This window comes from Homo sapiens, chromosome 1 (assembly GCF_000001405.40).
Source record: "Homo sapiens chromosome 1, GRCh38.p14 Primary Assembly".
Taxonomy (NCBI): Eukaryota; Metazoa; Chordata; class Mammalia; order Primates; family Hominidae; genus Homo; species Homo sapiens.
This window is the reverse complement of record NC_000001.11, coordinates 46,394,030-46,414,243: the sequence shown is the minus strand read 5'-3', so window position 1 is coordinate 46,414,243 and position 20,214 is coordinate 46,394,030. Positions and strand designations below refer to the sequence as shown.

Genomic DNA, 20,214 nt, shown 5'->3' with positions numbered 1-20,214 from the left:
AGGGCAGACTGGGAAGAAATAGCCCATATACTCCAGGGCCCAGAGGGAGGAGGAAAGGTGTCCTGGAGAGAGAAGGATCTGAGTCAGGTCTCAAAGGATAGAAAGCAGAGGAACAGAAAGAGCTTTCTAGGCAGGGAAAGAAGCAGAAGAAGGAAGGAGACCAAGGGCAGTGTCCAGCAGAGCAGGGCTTAGTGTAGGTGAGAGAGGAGGGGCACGGCCGAAGTGCTGGGGGATACAAGCCTGCACCCCTCCTGTGGGTGATGGGCACCAGGGGAGGTTGTGGAGCAGGAGACTGGCATGGCTGGAGCCTGGGTATGCACAGTCAAGCCAGCCCTGCTCTCAACAGGCTCCAAACCCCACCCTCACGATGACGCCCAGAAACCACACAGACGAGGAGCTGTTTCTTGACTGTTAGTTGGGCCTTGGCCTATGTCATACCCATGGGCTGCCACATGGGGGTGGAGGGATCAGGACGAAGAGAGGGGACCAGAGCAGGGATGGAGGTCCAGACTCAGGGAGTCGGCGCTTCTTGCAGGGGGTTGGGGGAGAGGACACGGAAGCCTCTGCCCCATGCAGGACATTTCCTTGCTGTGGCAGCAGGGCAGCTGTGCCCTGACTAGGCTGGGCTGCAGAGAGTGTGAGTCTCAGGTCCTCTGGAGCCAGAGCCATCAGGATGACTGCTTTTCAGGGGTCATCAGTCGCTCCACCTCCCGCATGAACCGCAGACACAACTCTTCTTGCCAGGGCAGAGCCACACACTGCACGGCCACCGGCAGCCCCACACTCTTCTTCATGCCCTATAGGGGATACAGGCATCAGGATAGGGTTAGCAAGGCAGGACTCCCCACCCCCAGGCCCAGGAAGCACCCAGCTAGAGAGAGGCCACAACGTAGGGCCAGGCCATAGTCCTTCAGGTCTTGCTTAAGAAAGGCTGGCAAACCCGCAGTGCTGGTACTGTTTCCTCCACAGCGGCCAGAGTCAGGGTGGGGAGTGAGTCCAGTTGAGGGGCAGGTCAGTCCTCACCTTCTGCAGCATCTTGTCCCAGATATCCCCAAAGTAGCCCCTGTAATGTTCCATCTGGGCCTCGTCCTCAGCAGTCACCGTGGTGACAGGCACCACCCCTGCAGGGAAGTCCAGGCAGTTGTACAGCATAGTGTAGCTGACGGCCCCTGGAACACATTACAGGCAGCTGCAGCAGGCCCTGAGAATCTTCAGTGCCAACTCCGGGCCTGAGTCAAACCTCATATGAAATGGCACCCTGTGTCTACAGCCAGAGAAAGGCTCTCTCCCAGGACTGAGGTCTGAGTGACAAAGCCCAGGAATTCAGATTTCAGGGCCGGGCTGGACAACCCACTGATGTTTGCCCCATGCCTTTGCCCATGTACTTTCTCCACTGGGAATGCTGTTCCTGTTTTCTTTTCCTTTTCCTTTTTTTGAGACAGTCTCACTCTGTCACCCAGGCTGGAGTGCAGTGGTGTGATCATAACTCACTGCAGCCTTGACCTCCTGGGCTCAAGCAATCCTCCTGCCTCAGCCCCCCGAGTAGCCAGGACTACAGGAACATGCAACCACACCCAGCTAATTTTTCTATTTTTTGTAGCAACAGGAGCCTCACTATGTTGCCTGGACTGCTCTTGAGCTCCTGGGCTCAAGTGATCCTCCAGCCTCAGCCTCCCAAAGTGCTCGGATTATAGGTGTGAGCCACCGCCCTGGCCCCTATTTTCTTGATTTATCTAAATCCCACCTGGACTTCAAACCATCACCTCCCCAAACTAGATTCTGTAACTCAAGATCCCCAACTTGAATAGTGCTGATGACAGGAAAATCAATCCCTGCCAGGGCAACCCACATGACTGCCATGTCTCCAGTCAGCCAGACTGTGGGCCCCGAGAGGGCAGGGTCCTCCCAGAGGGCTCTTCTTCCATTTCCTCGCAGCCCTGCAGGGCACATGGCCAGATTCACAGAAGGGACAGGCAGGGTGTCGGGCCTCACCTGTGGCCCTGCCTGGGGCATTCAAGTCCAGAGCAGGGGCCAGCATGGGGGTCAGCACCACATCCAGGTCCAGCGCCCTCCACTGGGCAATCACGGTTTTGCGGTACACCTGCGGAGGACACAACACACCAGGTGAAAGCACTCAGACCTAGCCCACCCCAGGCTCTTTAACTCAGGGACTGTGGCTGGGGTGGCTCTGGCCCCAGCACCTGCCCCTGGATCTGAACAGAGCCACAGTGGGACACAGGTCCTCCGGGCAGGCAGTGCTGCCTCTCAGAGGGCATCAGTCGTTCTGCCTCCAGAATGAATTGTGGATACACCTCTTCCCGCTGAGGCGGAGCCACACAAAGGCAGCTCCAGAGGGGCAAAAAGGCGGCCAGGACAGGAGCCTGGGGCTGACCCAGCCTCAAAGGATGGGCATCTAGGCAAGTAAGGGTCAGAGAGCTGGGCCCAAGTGGTGGTCCAGGGAGTGGAAGGGGGATGACAGGCCAGTCTAGGAGCCCCATGGGGGCAGTGGCCACGAGACACTGCTAGCGGGTACCCTGTCCAACTCCACCCTCCCCCCACCACCCTGCTCCAATCCAGAGGCTCTGGCCTCACCTCGATCTCGTGCTGCAGTTCCCAGAGTTTTCCAGCCGAACTGGGCAGAAGGAGTGTGGTCACCAGCCATGATGGTCACAGCCACGGAGATCAGCAACATCAGACCCCTACTGCCAACCCTCTAGATCTCACCCCTCCGTGGACCCTTCACAACCCCATGGGAGCTCTGAGAGGGAAGTTCAAACCCCTACTGTCTGGATGAGAAAATCAGGCCCCAGAGGGGCACAGGCTGGCACTTGGTGACTCCACAGCAGAGCCAGGACTAGCCCAGGCCCGATTCCTCGCTACCCTCAGGACACGGGAGAGGCCATAGCTGCTGCCAGTCCTGAAGCCTGGTGGTAAGGGAAGGAGTGAGTCCATGGGACGTCAGGGCATGAAACAGGGAGGTTTACGCCCTGCTTTTCCAGCCCCAGCCACTAAGGGGCAAGTAGGGCCTGGCGCAGCTCAGGTCAGCTCAGATCTCTAACAGTGGCATCTCTCCCGGGTGCCCCACCCTTGGCCCAGGCCAACCCCCACTTCCTGGTCCTTTCCACTCATGCCCCAGCCAGGTCAACCTCCTCCCCTCCAACTCCCCCATCCTCTTGTCCCCCTCAGGCCTTTGCTCTCCAGCCAGAACTGGACCTTGCCAAGACAACTTCAAAGTCCCATCTGAAGGCCACAAAGGTTGCCCCCCTGCCTGGGCCACTTCCAGCCTCAGAGGCTACTTCCCTCAAGTCCTTTCCTGTCAGAAACTACCCAGACCCAGACTCGGATCAGGACAGGCAGGGGCCGGCAGCTAGACACAGAAGAACCCTTACCGAGACTTCATGTTGCTGAGGAAAGCTGACAGCCTTGGCAGCTGCACAGGACAGACGCAGGGTCGGTGACTCAGCTCTGGGCCACGGCAGACGTCAACCTTCTTCAGGCCAAGCCACTGGGGACCCCTCCCTCCATGCCTCCCCCCAGGGCCCAGGTCGGCACCCCTTTCAGCATGCGGGTTGGCTGAAGATCGCAGGGGACAGAGGAGGAGAGCAGTCTGGGTGGGGACTGGAGAGAAGAGGAGGCCATGCCTGCCCAAACCAAGAGAGGCTGAGGGAGGCCATGGGGGATCATGCGATAGGAGGCCCTAGGTTCCCCCCCAGCCATCCTAGCCCCTCCACTCCTTGTGCCCTCACCAGAGGCTTCACCAGGAAGGCCAGCAGTCCTTTAAGCCATTGGGGAAGCTTCAGAATTGAGACCAGGTCCCCCAGGCAGGGGTCCACGAAATCACCTTTGCTGGGAAACAAAATGCTCGGTCCAGGCACTCCCATCCCCACATCCTTCCCAGCTTGCTCGCCCGGCCCACAGCAATCCCATTCTCTATGCAGGGATCCTGTCCACCTCCTCCTCACCAGACTCAGCTCCCTCCTTCCAAACATGCCGTTTGTTTCTGCTGATCCTTTGGGATGCCTGGGCTGCAACCCACATCCACGGGAGCTCCCCAAGGCAGGACTCAGGGTATCCCTCTCCAGCAAACCCAGCTCAGAGCTCTAAGAACTGAGGGCAACATCTCCCTGATGAGGCCTCCCTGAGGGTACCTCCCCTTAGGGAGGTACAGCCTGGAGGCACAGGTGGGGAAATCGAGGGTGGGCTGCCCATGAAGCAGGGCTCTGAGGCTATCTCTGGCTCAAGATCTCAGGGAAAGGTCTCAGGCAGCTGATCCTGGGGACTCATTCCCAGGGCCAGAGTGAGGAGTGACCCCTTCCACTGAAGCCTGGACCACACTTGGCTGCTAGGGGAAGGAAAGGAACATGACAGGCTGGGCCCTTGACTGAGTGAAGCTGCAGGGCCAAGCTCCAGGCTGCAGGGCCAAGTTCTCCATCAGTGAAGTGGAGGAAGGGGGACTGTGTTCTGAAGGGTTCCAGTCCATCCAGCAGAGGTATGTCACCAGGAGGCACCTTTGCAGGCCTGTTCTCTGCCCCTGACACCTTTAATGACTAGAAGCATCCCAGAGGAACGAACTTCTCTAAAAATGAGCTCTGCAAAGTCCCTTAAAGGGAGTCTGGTCCAACCCACCCACTTTACAGGAGAGAAAGCTGAGGTCCTGCTCAAAAAGAAGACTTGGCTCAAGTCAGACAGAGCCTGGAGTCACAGCATCAAGTCCAAACCCCCACCCTCCTGCCTGGATCCTGCCCTTGGCCCAAATCCTTCCCAAACAGAGAGGCAACCTCCTGCCCACCTCCTACCTCACAACAAGCTCAGATCAGGGGTAGGCCACAGATACTCAACCCAGCCTCCCCTCGGGCTGGCACCCTGGCAAGGGATCTCCAGGCTCAATGTGCCCAGCTGGAGGGACAGCGAGGTCCCTGCCCAGAGTGCTCAGGCCTTTGTTGGATTCAGCTAAGGCCCATCCAGGCATCACCACACCCTGCTGCTCCCCCAGGTCTGCCTACTTGTCTGATCCCACCAAGACCCCAAAGCCCACTATCACTCACAAGTTCTGTAGGAAGGTGTGGCCACCATCACTGAAGAGCCCACCTGTTGACAGGGTCTCCAGAGCATGGGGTATGTTGCTTGGCAAGAAGGGAACCAGCTGCAGGGATTGAGGGGTGTAAGGCCTCCTGACCTAACAACTGGCTTCATGATCCCCATGCTGTCTGGGCGGCCCTGAGGATGGATTGGACCAACCCTGCCCACAAGATAGCTCTCACTAGAGCTACAAAGGCAGCCTTACTGACCCATGAAAACTCACTGTGGAATGCACAGCATGAGAGAAGTCTGGAGCCACACATAAAGTTGTGTAATGACCAGACCAAAACCCACTGGCCCTGGGAGCCTCTGGACAGCTGTGCACCACTGTTTAGAGCTGAAGAGCCTCCCCACATGCAGTGCTCACACATCACACAGCACAGGGCTAAAGTTCTCCATCAATCACTCACTCCAATACTCTTGATCAGCCCTCTATATACTTGTCCCACAGGGTCACAGTTCACCCCGACGACAACATCGTCAGAGTGCCAGGATGCCAGGGATGGAGTAGCCATGGGTACCAGGAAGGCTTCCCGTGAGGGGAGGAGATGCCAGTACTTCCAGGACCCTGCAGTCATACCGTGTGCCCCGCAGCCTCAAGGCTCTGTTTGGTCTCCAGCACGGCCCGCCTCATGGCCGGGGAGGGCATGGTATAGTTGTCAGTCTCATAGTACCCCACACGCAGGGGCTGAGAGCTGGTGTAGACCTGGAGGGAAAACACAGGGGACAGGGGCAGGTCAGGAGAAGACAACCCTAGGCAGGACCCCTAGAGATCAGAGAAACTACTCAGCCCCAGACACAGCTGCGAGGCTGCAGTCAGCGAGGCCAGCCCCTTCTGCATCTGACCCTTTCATAAAACACCTTCACAGTGACTCAGGTGGGCAGAGCAAGGATAAGGATTCCTACTGGTCATATGAGGAAACTGAGGCTTGAGGTCTCAATAGGGAGATTAGGTGGGACTGGGACTTGCCCAAAGCTACCCAATGCAGAGTGACAAGACAGGTCTGGAATGCAGGCATCCTGTCTTCTGAGCTGAGGCTCTCCACCACCTGTCCTGGCTCTCATGATAAACTGTTCCAGACTTCCAGACAGGGACCTCATCTCCTCCTCTCCTCCGAGGAAGGACTTCACGGCTGCCTATCCCCGTGGGTTCGGTTAGAATATCTCCCTCTGCCTGGGGAGGGGGAGTTCACCCTACCCAGCCCAGATCTGCCCTGCTGCCCCACTCCCAAGAAACACCAAGGCCCACTCTCCTTCCCGTCCACAAACCCTCAGCCTTTCCAAGGCAACCTTGGCTGGGGCGAGGGCAAGAGGTCTGTACAAGATAGACAATCGCTGGACTGCTGAGAAACGGGGCTTACGTCACACAGCTTACTGTCTACATTAACGTGACTTCACTCTTCCTCTGTCTGCACCAATCTAACTTTACAGCTCCTGCACTCTGTTGGAGTGGGCACAGAGGATGACCTAGGGCCCAGCACCTGCCTCACTGGGGACATCTGGCCCCAGCCTCAACCTGGCTGTTTCTGGCCTTCAACCCCAACGCACACAGAGACAGAGAGAGAGAGAGTACCAGGACCAGAGCACAACCAGAACACTCAAGAGAGCAAAATACTGGTCTCAGATGCCCCGCAGTAGGGGATGAGCTGGGAGGAAGATGACCACTGGCCACTCCCCCACCTCCTCCAAATAACACACATAACACAAATAACCTTCCGATTCATTCCAACTCTTCAACAGGAAGCATCGGTTGACACCTCTCGCCTCAAAATCCACACCCTGCTGTGCCCACCAATCCTTAACATGGGGATTAAGGATCTTAACCAATCTTAACCAACTTAAACCAATCTTAACCAACCCCCATGTTGAAAGATCCACCTTAAACCAGACTTCAAAATCTCAGCAGATCTCCCCACCCTTCCTGCCCTCTGAGATGATCCTAAGGCTTTGCAAGACAGTGCTGCCTCGCCACAGAAAGCAACAAGCCCAGCCTGTCTCAGCAACAGGCTGCTGTGGTGGTATTTTGGGGAGCAGCACACCACGCTGCTTGCAGACCCTGGCTCACGTAGCAGCAAGTCTGGCAGGAACAGGCTACATGAGCTGGGGTCTGCAGGCAGCGTGGCGTGCTGCTCCCAAAATGTGGACAGGAATACTGTTAGAAAGGCTGCTGTTTGCTGAAGGTCAGCAGGCTGGGAAATGATTCCTGCATCCCTGGTGCCAGCAGCTGAGGCTGGGCACCTTTGAAAGCCTGTGGATTTCCGGCCGGCGCGGTAACTCAAGCCTGTAATCCCAGCACTTTGGGAGGCCGAGGCGGGCGGATCACGAGGTCAGGAGATCCAGACCATCCTGGATAACACGGTGAAACCCCGTCTCTACTACTAAAAATACAAAAAAAATTAGCCGGGCGTGGTGCCGGGCGCCTGTAGTCCCAGCTACTCGGGAGGCTGAGGCAGGAGAATGGCGTGAACCCAGGAGAATGGCGTGAACCCGGGAGGCGGAGCTTGCAGTGAGCCGAGATCGCGCCACTGCACTCCAGCCTGAGGGACAGAGCGATACTCAGTCTCAAAAAAAAAAAAAAAAAGAAAGAAAGAAAAGGAAAAAAAAAAAAAGCCTGAGGATTTCCAAATGCAGGCAAGGGCTCCATCTGGTGGCCGTCTGTGGAGGAGCAACCCGCCCTGGCCTCAGAGGCCTGGGGGACGGTTCTCAGGAGACAGGGGCTCCAAGGCCTGCCCACAAGGCCTGGGGTGGCTGTCTGGGTTCAGCGGTCCACATTCATGCCCACCCAGCCCTGCTCACCTCTTCTCTGAAGGGCAAGGGAGGCACAGTGGGGTCCAAGCGGAACATGTCCTCACACAGCAGGGCTCGCAGGCACAGTGCCAGGCTCTCCACGTCCCGGGCCATGGGGCCCACGGAGAGACGCACTGTGGGGCAGAGAGGTGAGGGAGGTAAGCAGACAAGGAGCGAGGAACCCAGACCTAGAGCAGCCTGGGGGCCAGACACTGCCCTGCCACCTGAGAAGCACGGGCGGAAGCGGGTCAGGCCGACCCCCACCCTCCTCGGGGCACTGAGAGCACCACGGACCTCACCTGCCTCCTGTCCATAGACACAGCCCTTCAGGCCACTCTTGCTGGATAAGAAACATAAGATGCTGGAAACAGGAAATGGCCACCCGCCGCCATCCCCACACCCACAGAGCAGCTCTGAACACTCACCGCTTTGGAAACTAGGACCCACGCCCGGCCAGTGGTACTGTAATGCTTCCTCCCAGCAAAACCCCGGAGACCGAATCCCCGCCTGGAGCCCAGAGAGGTTGGAAGCTAGGCCAAGGTCACACAGCGAGGGGCCCAGAAGCGCCCTCCACCCACCTTACCTGAGGCGGTTCCCTGTGGGCTTGAGGCCGCAGATGCCGCAGAAGGAGGAGGGGAAGCGGATGCTGCCTCCGATATCAGTGCCTAAGCCCAGGGGGGAGCCTCCAGACCCGATGAGGGCCCCTTCACCCCCTGAGGAGCCCCCTGGGCTTTTGGAGGACTTCCATGGGTTCACGGTCTGGCCAAAGAGGGGGTTACTGCAGTCATAGCTGGAGGAGCCAAGAATGGGTCAGCCCGTGCCATGCTGGGACCGGTGCCCCTGCCCCGCCCCGCCCCACCCCAAGACCCAACCTGAACATGGACTGTGGAACATTGGTGTGCACGAAGGGCACGGCACCCTGCAGCTTCAGCACATGCACCACTACGCTGTCGCACTCCGCCGGCACCCCTTCATTCAGGCTCAAGCCCAGCGTGGAGTCCTGGCCCTGGGAGGAGGGATGGGCACCAGAAGGGAGTGAGTCAGGGCCCGTGGGCAGCCAAGGGTCCACTCCAACAACTGTCACACAGGCCAAAACAGGTATACCAGTGTCCCCTCGGAAGGCCTCTGGACCTGATACCTCCTCTAAGGGCCCAAAATGACCCAAGATGCAGAGCAGGCTGGCAGGGATGGAGGGGACGATGGAGGCCTGGCGCTGAGGCAGAGCATACCTTGTAGGTGAAGCACTCCTTGAGGCTCACAGGGACGCCATAGAGCAGGCCCTGCCTTGGGGCCTGAGACAGCTGAGTCTCACAGTCAGCCAGATAGGAGGTCACACAGTTGGTCCCTTTGTTCACTTCCCAGGCCTGAGGAAGGGGAAGTAGACATAAGATAAAAGGAGGCTGGCCTTTTTAAGAAATTGTGGTGAAATATACATCATGTAGAACTGGCCTTTTAAAGTATACCCAGGGAGAGGGGTAACCAGCAACATGGCCCAGAGCCTGGGGCACAGAGGATGACCTAGGGCTCAGCATCTGCCTCACTAGGGACATTTGGCCCAGGCCTCATCCTGGCTGTCTCTGGCCTTCAACCAGGACCAGGGCACAACCGGGACACTCAAGGGAGCAAGATACTGGCCTCAGGTGCCCCCCAGGTAGGGGGTGAGCTGGGAGGAAGATGACCACTGGCCACTCCCTCACCTCCCCCAAGCCACATCTCTGCCAGTGAGGCAGACAGAAACCAGACAGGGGCAGCGCCCCATCACTGGTCACACTGAAGGGCAACCACAGAGCAGGACTAGACCAGACTCCTGCCTCCCGGAGCCCAGCAGTCTCTCCTCAACCCCACGCCTTCCCCACATGTAGCCCAGTCAAGCCTCCCCTTACCCAGGAAATCTTGAATTTGATAATCAAGCCATGTGGAGTAGGAGCTTGACAAAAGGGAAGAACATGCTAATAGTGGAAATCTGCCTAGAATGCTCAAACCTCACCACACAGGGTCCTACAGAAGGAAAGGTGAGGGCAGAGTGAGATGCAGCTTTCAGTAAATATTCCTGCTCCTGGGGAGTATCTGGGGGAAACAGGGTGGGCTGTGTTGCCATATTCAGGCATGTGCAAAATCTGTCCCCGGGGTACCCGAGGCAGGAACAGAGAAGGCTAATCTAACCAGATAGACTAGATTAACTAGGAAGGGCAGGAGCCTTTCAGGGACATTGACAGGGAAGAAGCAAGACCATCTGCTGAGACTATGTACGTGCCCCCTCTCAGTGACACCAGCCCAGCATGCGCTCGCTTCCTCAGCTGCAGCCCCCACAGCATTGTCACATACACTGCACCCAGACAAGTTCACCTGCCTAGGGGTCACACTCACTGTCCCACACCCTTTCAAGAAATCATGCAGGCCACACTCAAAGCACAATTTGTCTCCTTCTTTCCTCCCTCCCTCCCTTTCTTTTCAAACATATTTCTTGAGCATTTATTACGTGAAATGCAACATGTTGAGCACTAAGGTTCAAAGACAAATGAGACAAGCTCTGTCCACAAAGACCCCCCATGGGAAAGAGATAGAGAAGACAAGCCTGACACTGTGATGAGAAATGTGCTATTAGAATGAGAGTAGGCCTGGAAGAGGAAACCCTACCTCAGGTGGCGAATGGAAGACGGTGCCTCCTGCTCTGAGCCCCGAAGGCTCAGCCAGGGGAGCCCGTGGCACGGACAGGGGCAAAGAAGAGGGAAACAGCCTTCCAGGTAAAGGAGCCCCACCCAAGCCAGTGCAGAGCTGCTGACACCCAAGCTCCAGAAGGCCTTGGCCAGAGGTGATGCCACACACAGAGGAGGAGTACAAGAGATGGCCTGAAGAGCTGGGGACACAAGAGGGCACCTGACCAGGAGGCTGGTGCTTGGGCATGGCGGGAGATGGTGGTGGCGGGCCAGGGTGGCCAAAGGGGATGGAGACAGGAGAGGGCTGGGTAAAAGAAGAGAACAGGCCAGGCGCGGTGGCTCACGCCTGTAATCCCAGCACTTTCAGAGGATCACCTGAGGTTGGGAGTTCCAGACCAGCCCGGCCAAATAAAAATACAAAAATTAGCCAAGCATGGGGGTGCATGTCTATAATCCCAGCTACTCGGGAGGCTGAGGTATGAGAATCACTTGAACCCGGGAGGTGGAGGTTGTAGTGAGCCAAGATCATGCCACTGCACTCCAGCCTGGGCGACAGAGCAAGACTCCCATCTCAAAAAAAAAGACGGGGTCGGGCATGGTGGCTCACGCCTGTAATCCTAGCACTTTGGAAGGCCGAGGCGGGTGGATCACCTGAGGTCAGGAGTTTGAGACCAGCCTGATCAACATGGTGAAACCCCGTCTCTACTAAATACAAAAAATTAGTTGGGGGCCAGCTGCAGTGGCTCACAGCTGTAACCCCAGCACTTTGGGAGACCGAGGCGGGTGGATCACTTGAGGTCAGGAGTTCCAGACCAGCCTGACCAACATGGTAAAATCCCATCTCTACTAAAAATACAAAAATTAGCTGGGTGTGTTAGCAGGTGCCTGTACTCCCAGCTACTCAGGAGGCTGAGGCAGAAGAATCACTTGAACCCAGGAGGTGGAGGCTGCAGTGAGCCAAGATCATGCCACTGCATTCCAGCCTGGGCAACAGAGCGAGACTCCATCTCAAAAAAAAAAAAAAAATTTTTTTTCTTTTCATTAGCCGGGTGTAGTGGTGCATGCCTGTAATCCCAGCTACTTGGGAGGCTGAGGCAGGAGAATTGCTTGAACCCAGGAGGTGGAGGTTGCAGTGCGCCAAGATTGTGCCATTGCACTCCAGCCTGAACAACAAGAGCGAAACTCCATCTCAAAAAAAAAGAAGGGAACAGACCAGACTTGTTGCCCAATGGGGTGGAGGCAGGAGGGAGAGGGAAGTCTGGGCTAAAAGCCAGGTTACTAGCTAAGACAGCATGCTCAGTGTCTCATACACACATACATACACACACGCACACGCTCTGGCTCCTTCCCTCCCTGGCAGTCCCTGGCACTGTAGGTCCCACCATGGCCCCCAGCAGGACTAACTCCAGGCCAGGTTTTCCCCACAGCCTGTGCGGACAGAGGGAGGGGAAAGGGAGGGGCTGGCCTTGGCTGGCCTTACCTTTCCCAGGGAGGGGCTGGCCTTGGCTGGCCTTACCTTTCCCACATAGGTGAAGAGCACGGCCTCAGGGGCCAGCTCTCTACTGTGTAACTTCTGCACCAGCTGAGGCAGGGGCAGGGCTAGCAGCGCCTCTGAGTCCAGGTCTGGGTTCTGTGGGGAACAAACTCGGATCAGTCCCCTACTCGCCGAAGTCTCATGGGCCTGCAGCAGACACCAGTGGCCCATGCCCCAGCAGCTCTGACATGGCCCAGCCTGGGCAGGCCCTTGCCATCCCTAGAGAATGCAGCTCTGTCTCCTCCAGAAGCTTGTTGAAGGGGTGCCCAGCGAGCCGACCTGCCCAAGTAGGTTTTTTTTTTCCTTAGAGACAGTGTCTGGCCGTGTTGCCCAGGCTAGACTTGAACTCCTGGGCTCAAGTGATCCTCCCACTTCAGCCTCCCGAGTAGCTGGAACTACAGGCACATGCTACTGTGCCTAGCTCCAGACTGATGATTAAACCACTACAAATATACACCAGCAGTGGCTGCCTTCTGTGTGCCAACACCACGCTGATGTCATCCATGTTTTGATTAAGTCTTACTGCCATTCCCATTGCACAGATAAACTGAGGCTGAGAGAGAGGTGCCTTCTTGCCCACCAGCCATCTGCCTGCACCTGACCCCATGCCATCCCCACACCCACAGAGCAGCTCTGAACACTACTCAGGGGGTTGCCAACCTCTAGCAGGGAAGGGCAAAAACAAGAAGACCCCATCTTGGGAGGCTGGGTCTGTGACTGAAGGCCACACCCAAAAGGAAGGGTTTACACATTCATTCTGTGTCCGGAATTGGTGGGTTCTTGGTCTCACTGACTTCAAGAATGAAGCCGCAGACCCTCACAGTGAGTGTTCCAGTTCTTAAAGGCTGCCTATCTGAAGAAACCACATTTCAGCTGTGATTTGAAGGATAAGAAGATGCCAGATGTGGGGAGAGACAGAGCTCTGGGTACCTTCTCTTCCCTCTCTGATTCTGGGAGAAGGCTTCCCCTCCTCCTGCTTCCATTCCTCCCACCCCTCCAACCCTGCTTCTACTCCTCCCCTCCCCCTAATCCCCCTACTCCCCTCCCCCTACTCCCCCTCCTCCCCTGGCCTGCTTCCCCCTCCTCCCCTCCCCACTTCCCCCTCTTCCCTCCCCAATTTCCCCTCCTCCCCTCCCCTGGTTTCCCTCCTCCCCTCTACCCTTTCCCTCCTCCCCTCCCCTGGCTTCCCCTCCTCCCCCTCTACCCTTCCCTTCCTCCCCTCCCCTTGCTTCCCCTCCTCCCCCTCTACCCTTCCCTTCCCTTCCTCCCCTCCCCTTCCTTTCCCTTCTCCCCTTCCCTTCCTCACCTCCCCTTGCTTCCCCTTCTCCCCTCTACCCTTCCCCTCCTCCCCTCCCCTCTTACCCTCCTCCCCTACCCTGGCTTCCACTCCTCCCCTAAGCACCTCTGACTCCAGGCTCTCCACTCATCCCACATCCCCCAGATCCCCTACCCAGCCCGAGGCAATGGAGCCCAAACCAGCTCACTGGGCTATTCCTGTCACCTGTCCACCTTCCCTGTCCTTCCTCTAAGCTCATCACCTGCCCGACTTTTGACCAGCTCCTCCTTATGTATCCTGTACCCTGTACTCAGGGGAGGCCCCGCCATCCATCCAGGTGTTCAGGAAATGAAACAGGTGTCTTTCTGGCTCCTCCTTCCCACCACCACCTGCATCCAGTCACCAAGCTAAGTAGCTCTGAAAAATGGTCACCTCTCCATCCCCTCTACCAAGGCCCTCACCGGGCCTCAGACTCATCCTTGTCTCCTAGGTCACACGCGGCCACCCAACTGCTGCCCTGCCCAGGTCCTGCACCTCCAACCCACACTTTCCACTAGGGCCAGACAGTGCAAAACCCAACCTGGCCTTGCCTCTCCCCTTAAAATCCCCATCTCATCACACCACAGGCTCCAGAGCATATTCCAGGAGGTGCTTCCAAGCTGTGGTCCTCTCAGACTCATGTGCACCTCTCCCCACCCAGGCACCACTGCCCCCTCCCACCCCCCACACCCCAGAGCCTGGCGCCTGCCCTCTCCGAGCACATGCCACAGCCTCTGCCCCCTGATGTCCTCAGTGTCAGGAGCACTTCCCTGAATTCATTGAACTGATAGAGTACTTACTTTGGATTTTTTTTCTAACACAAGGAGCTACAAAGAAGAAAAAATGGGTTCAAGACTTCTCCCCAAACACACTAGATAATCCTCTTGATATATTCTTTAAAGGTATACAAAATGAAAAGTGAGCATTCCCTCCACCCCTGGTTCTCCTTGCACAGTCCCTCCTCTATAAAGGAAAACTATAATTAACAGTTTCTGGTGTACTCTTACAGGAAAAGAAAATATTTATGAAAAACCCACCATGTCAACAGTTGTCTATATATATTCTTTTTTGCACAAAGGAATCATACTATACACACAGTACTGCATCTTGCCTTTCCCATCTCACAATGAAAATCAAATTTTGCTTTATTTTTGTTTTCATTATATAAATACAGGTTCATTGTATTTTAAAAAATGCCTAAGAGTATGGAGAAGGACATCGAAATCAGCAGAGCATTCACCACCCTGGAATAACTGCCACCTGACAGTCCGGTCACCAACTCCCCCGACCTCGCTACAAGGCGCCCACAGAGTGCCTGTGCACGGCAGCTAGCAGCTAGCAATGTGCTCCCCTCCACGCTCAGCACACATTTTCATTCTTTCCTATGTTCTTGCCTGTTGACAGTTAATGACACAGCTGCTAACAGCTATTTTTAAATCTTCAACTAGTGTCAGGCAGCTGAGACATTTTCTCCTAGACACCAAAGTAAGTCTGCACCTCCAGAAGACCAATCAGTGAACATGCGGAAACCTGATTTTGCGGAGAATGCAGGGAAGTATAGTATACAGGTAACATCTAAACCTGTGGCCACCTGCATGCACAATTTTTCAAGAGAGGGATACTCTACCAATCACTTAGGAGGCATTGCCCCTCCTCCATCTGTTTTGTTTTCTCCTTCTGAACCACAATGCCAGTGGGATTGATAAGCGGGTTGTAAGAGATGTAGGAAAAACCATTCAGGGTAAAACAAAACTGCATGTACAAAGGCATAAGGGCATAAATAGGTGTTCTGTGATGTCTCTCCCAGCTATACTATTCTATTGATGGTGGTCCTTCTCTTCGGTCTAGAAAAGATATCAAAACTTATTCAGGGGGCAGGGTGGGAAAAAATGGGTGAAGCGTCAACAGAATTACCAGAAACACATTTTTCTCTAGATTTGCTCAAGAGTTTAGAGAGAGGTGAACTATTTTGTGAAAATTCAGAAGGTGTTTAGGTACCCCTTCATCCAGCTGTGTCCTCCTTGGACACAGCCAAGAATCCGGGAGTGGTGGCTCACACCTGTAATCCCAGCACTTTGGGAGGCCGAGGCAGGCGGATCACCTGAGGTCAGGAGTTCGAGACCAGCCTGGCCAACATGGCGAAACCCTGTCTCTACCAAAAATGCAAAAATTAGCTGGATGTGGTGGCAGGCACCTGTAGTCCTAGCTACTCCAGGAGGCTGAGGCAGGAGAATCACTTGAACCCGGGAGGCGGAGGTTGCAGTGAGCCAAGATTGAGCCACTACACTCCAGCCTGGGCAACAGAGCAAGACTCTGACTCAAAAAAAAAAAAGAATCTTGGTTGCCAAATCGCTTTGTCCAGAATCTATCAGACAGGAGCTTTACTACAAATCGCTGTGTTCTCCCAGGGCCTGCTGGAGCCCTGCTTATCTCAGGTGCCCCCTTGTGATTCAGGGCTGGGCTAAGAGCCCCAGAAGAAAGGTTGCCCAGACAGTCACAGATCCTACCTGCCCATCATTCAAGGACTCCAGAGCCAAACAGAAGGGTGCCTTAGGAGTTGTAGGCAGAAGGGAGGAGAGGCGGGGGAAAGAGCTGTTCCCAAGCCTGGGCTGGGTTCAGCTAAAACTCCCACGTCCTGGCCGGGTGAGGTGGCTCACACCTGTTATCCCAACACTTTGGGAAGCCAAGGCAGGGGGATCACCTGAGGTCAGGAGTTCAAGACCAGCCTGGCCAAGATGGTGAAATCCCATCTCTACTAAAAAATACAAAAATTAGCCGGGCATGGTGGCAGGCACCTGTAACCCCAGCTACTAGGGAGGCTGAGGCAGGAGAATTGCTTGAACCCGGGAGGTGGAGGTTGCAGTGAGCCGAGATTGCACCAGTGCACTCCAGCTGGGGCAACAAAGTGAGACTTCATCTCAAAAAAAAAAAAAAAAAAAGAGTTCAAGACTAGCCTGGCCAACATGACGAAACCGTTTATACTAAAACTACAGAAATTAGCCAGGCATTGGCCAGGCGCGGTGGCTCATGCCTATAATCCCAGCACTTTGGGAGGCCGAGGCGGGCGGATCACCTGAGGTCGGGAGGTCGAGGCCAGCCATGGCCAACATGGTGAAGCCCCGTCTCTACTAAAAATGCAAAAATTAGCCAGGCATGGTGGCAGGCGCCTGTAATCCCAGCTACTCGGGAGGCTGAGGCAGGAGAATCGCTTGAACCTGGGAGGCAGAGGTTGCAGTAAGCCGAGATCGCACCATTGCACTCCAGCCTGGGCGACAGAGCAAGACTCCGTCTCAAAAACAAAAAACAAAAATAACAAAAACCAAAAAAAAATCCTACTCCCCCGCAAAGCCTACAAAGCTATTGTCAATCAGGACCCCACCCCTTTGCTGATTACTCAAAACCACAATCACTGGAAACCTGAAAGGTAATTTCCCGCTTCTCCTCCTGAAAGAGCCAAGCTTTCAGAGCCAAAACTTCTGTCCTGGAATAATCTGTTCGTAAAAATAATGAAGAGCAGTTGCTCCAGAGGAAAACCATATAGATGCTGCTGTTTGGAGCCGAAGTGCAGGAAGACCCATCCTGCTACCATCCCACACCCCTGCCAGCCAGGTGGATTCCTTGCAACCAGGAGGGGAGTTCTGCAGGCAAGAGCTGTGAGCAGATCCCTGCTAGTGCTGCCCACGCTGCTCTTGGAGCTGGCAGAACTCAGCTGGCTGCACAGAGCCAGGGATAAACAGGAGGATCTCTAAGGAGGACCTCCAGCGCCCAGCCAGAGAGGGCAACTAGACAGTGAAGAACCTGTGCTTGTGTAGGGGAGATGGCCAATTTGGGTTGACCACCAGGGCCCTCTCACTCTGGAAGGAAGAAACCCTAAAAACTGACTGATGGTGGACTTTTCAGCCAGCTTGGTGAGTGGAGGCTGGAACCAGATATATTTTTTATCTTACTAAATAAATATGAGATATCTTGGCCCCAGGGATGGTTTGGAGTAAATTCATACATTACAGCCAGCCAAAACCGCAACACATGTGTGGGGAAAAGAGAGATCAGACTGTTACTGTGTCTATGTAAAAAGAAGTAGACATAAGAAATTCCATTTTGTTCTGTACTAAGAGAAATTCTTCTGCCTTGAGATGCTGGTAATCTGTAAACCTAGCCCCAACCCTATGCTCGCAGAAACATGTGCTGTGTTGACTCAAGGTTTAATTAGGGCTGTGCAGGATGTGCTTTGTTAAAAATGTGTTTGCAGGCAGTATGCTTGGCAAAAAGTCATCGCCATTCTCCCGTCTTGAGTACCCAGGGGCACAATGCACTGCGGAAGGCTGCAGGCACCTCTGCCCAAGAAAGCCTGGGTATTCTCCAAGGTTTCTCCCCACTGAGACAGCCTGAGATACGGCCTTGTGGGAAGGGAAAGACCTGACCATACCTCAGCCCGATACCCGTAAAGGGTCTGTGCTGAGGAGGATCAGTGAAAGAGGAAGGCCTCTTTGCAGTTGAGATAAGAGGAAGGCATCTATCTCCTGCTCGTCCCTGGGAATGGAATGTGTCAGTGTAAAACCCGATCCTACGTTCTATTTACTGAGATAGGAGAAAACCACCTTATGGCTGGAGGTGAGACATGCTGGTGACAATACTGTTGTTTACTGCACTGAGATGCTTGTATAAAGTCAAACATAAATCTGGCCTACATACACATCAAGGCACAGCACCTTTCCTTAAACTTATGACACAGAGTCCTTTGCTCACATGTTTTCCTGTTGACCCTTTCCCCACCATTACCCTATAGTCCTGCCACATCCCCCTCACCGAGATGGTAGAGATAGTGATCAATAAATACTGACGGAACTCAGAGACCAGTGCTGGCGCGGGTCCTCCCTATACTGAGCGGTGGTCCCCTGGGCCCACTGTTCTTTCTCTATACTTTGTCTCTGTGTCTTATTTCTTTTCTCAGTCTCTTGTCCCACCTGAGGAGAAATACCCACAGGTGTGGAGGGGCTGGCCCCCTTCAACATGCAGGGCTACACCCTGGGCTGGCATGCAAGGTGCCTTCCTCATATCTCTCTCCTGTTCCTCTCCACGAAAGTGTGGCTGCAGAGTGCAGCGGGCACCTAGGTTCTAGTTCCAGCTCTGCCCCAACTCAAAAATCACTTGCGGAACATCTGCTGAACACAATTTTCTGTGACTCTTTCTGTCTCCCACCCAGGCACACCCTCCTGAGTCCTGCGGTTCCCAACCTGTAAAGCCTTCCCACCTGTCAGGTCCCACAGATACAGCAAGCCCTCCCTCTCTCAGCACATAAGAAGGCTTTAACTGGGGTCAGTGTTTCACACACCCAGAGGAAAAGCCCCTCTTCAAGCCACATCTTCCAAACCCTCAGCCAGGCCCTTCCACGCCTCCAAACCCACATACTGAGGTGATCCAAAGGCAGCGCAGGGAGAAAAGCTTGTTGACAGACCACCCACGGAGGGCTGGAACTAAACCTGCTCATGGAAAGGGCTTGCCAGGGGTTGGACACCACAGCAGGAGCCAGAGAGACTTCCCTTCTAGCCTGGCTTTGCCAAGATCTCCCTGTGCACTTGGCAGGTTTCTTTCTGGCTCCCTCTTAGGATCCAAATGCACAAATCAAGAAGCTTGAACTCAGCCAGGCGCGGTGGCTCACGCCCAGCACTTTGGGAGGCCGAGGCAGGTGTATCAACTGAGGTCAGGCGTTTGAGATCAGCCTGGCCAACATGGTGAAACCCAGTCTCTACTAAAAATGCAAAAATTAGCCAGGCGTAGTGGCGGGCCCCTGTAATCCCAGCTACTGGGGATGCTGAGGCAGCAAGAATCGCTTGCACCCGGGAGGCGGAGGTTGCAGTGAGCCGAGATCGCACCACTGCACTCTTGCCTGGGAGTCAGAGCGAGACTCCGTCTCAAAACAAAACAAAAAAAAACAAAAAACAAAACTCTAAGCTCTCCAGATCCCCTTGGCCATTACACTCTGCGATTCCAAAGTCCTCAACCCCTGGCATCCCACTGGTTGTCACGCTTGCGTTTTCGCATTCCAATAGGCAGCAATCGTGAGATTCTTTGGCACAAAGCAAAACTCCTCTTTGACCCAGTGAGGGAAAGGCCTTCCACCACCTGCCTTGACACTACCGTTTCCTTTCTTCCCCCGTGCTCTACCTGGCTCAGAAAGTGCGGAATATCTTAGGGCAAGGAGAGATTCTGGAGAGTTACACATCTGCTCTGCCCGCCCCATCCCCTGTCCCTCGGCGGGTCCGGCGGCTGAAAGTGCCGCTGCGAGTACCCTCAGGCCGCGCCCATCCCACTACGCTCCGGCAGTCACCTGGAGCCGGAAGCGCTGCGCCGCCCTGTCCATGTTCTCCAGGCCCGCTCGCTGCCTCTGTCGCGCCCGGACCACCGCGCCCCGCGCCGTCCGGCGCCCGGACCAGCGCAGGGCCACGGCCGCCGCCACGAAGCAGCAGGCCAGGGCGACCCCGGAGGCGCCAGGCAGCGCGGCCCACAGCTCGTACTGCACCATGATCCCTTCAGCCTGCTGCTGCCTACCGCGACAGTTGAAGCCGCCGCACGCGCAGCCCGCCCGCTCCGCCGCAAAACCCGGACTGGATCAGCCGGGATCCCACGCCCGCCTGCGCGGGAGGGGCGGGGAAGCGCGCCAGAGCCTAGAGGCTATCAGAGGCGGCCCGCCTGGCATCGCCCCCAGCGACATCCCGCTCCCCGCCAAGCCGAGCAGGCGGGTGGGGAAGGGCGACTGTTTCTCGTGGGCGACCTCCCAAGCTTGAGTTTAGCACCGGTTGGGCACCACAGCCCCGGCCGTCCTCTGCCCCCTGCACCCCAGA

General features: G+C 55.6%; 1 protein-coding gene across 1 annotated transcript, besides 1 other annotated feature; it reads right to left on the bottom strand.

The window, feature by feature from the left end:
* FAAH (fatty acid amide hydrolase) lies at positions 399 to 19,927 on the bottom strand. The gene is made up of 15 exons (NM_001441.3): positions 19,701 to 19,927; positions 12,040 to 12,153; positions 9,096 to 9,230; positions 8,739 to 8,872; positions 8,450 to 8,656; positions 8,166 to 8,206; positions 7,876 to 8,000; positions 5,660 to 5,785; positions 5,046 to 5,143; positions 3,747 to 3,846; positions 3,390 to 3,430; positions 2,593 to 2,632; positions 1,993 to 2,101; positions 1,024 to 1,169; positions 399 to 797 (listed from the first exon to the last, which is right to left on the bottom strand). The coding sequence occupies exons 1-15, from the start codon at positions 19,893 to 19,895 to the stop codon at positions 669 to 671; spliced, it is 1,740 nt and encodes a 579-aa protein (NP_001432.2). The 5' UTR covers positions 19,896 to 19,927; the 3' UTR covers positions 399 to 668.
* Positions 19,526 to 20,039: an enhancer, noted in NCBI's record as "H3K27ac-H3K4me1 hESC enhancer chr1:46859877-46860390 (GRCh37/hg19 assembly coordinates)". NCBI's record gives its function as "activates a minimal SCP1, AML or CMV promoter by ChIP-STARR-seq in naive H9 embryonic stem cells {active_cell/tissue: H9 hESC(naive)}" and the evidence as "EXISTENCE:reporter gene assay evidence [ECO:0000049][PMID:30033119]".

Coding starts and splice junctions, on each gene's coding strand:
- FAAH (NM_001441.3), bottom strand. CDS start 19,895: ATGGTGCAGTACGAGCTGTGGGCCGCGCTGCCTGGCGCCTCCGGGGTC. Junction 8,873..9,095: donor AGGAGTGCTTCACCTACAAG/GTATGCTCTGCC, acceptor CCCTCCTCCCAG/GGCCAGGACTCCACGCTGGG. Junction 8,001..8,165: donor TGTCTATGGACAGGAGGCAG/GTGAGGTCCGTG, acceptor TCTGCCCCACAG/TGCGTCTCTCCGTGGGCCCC.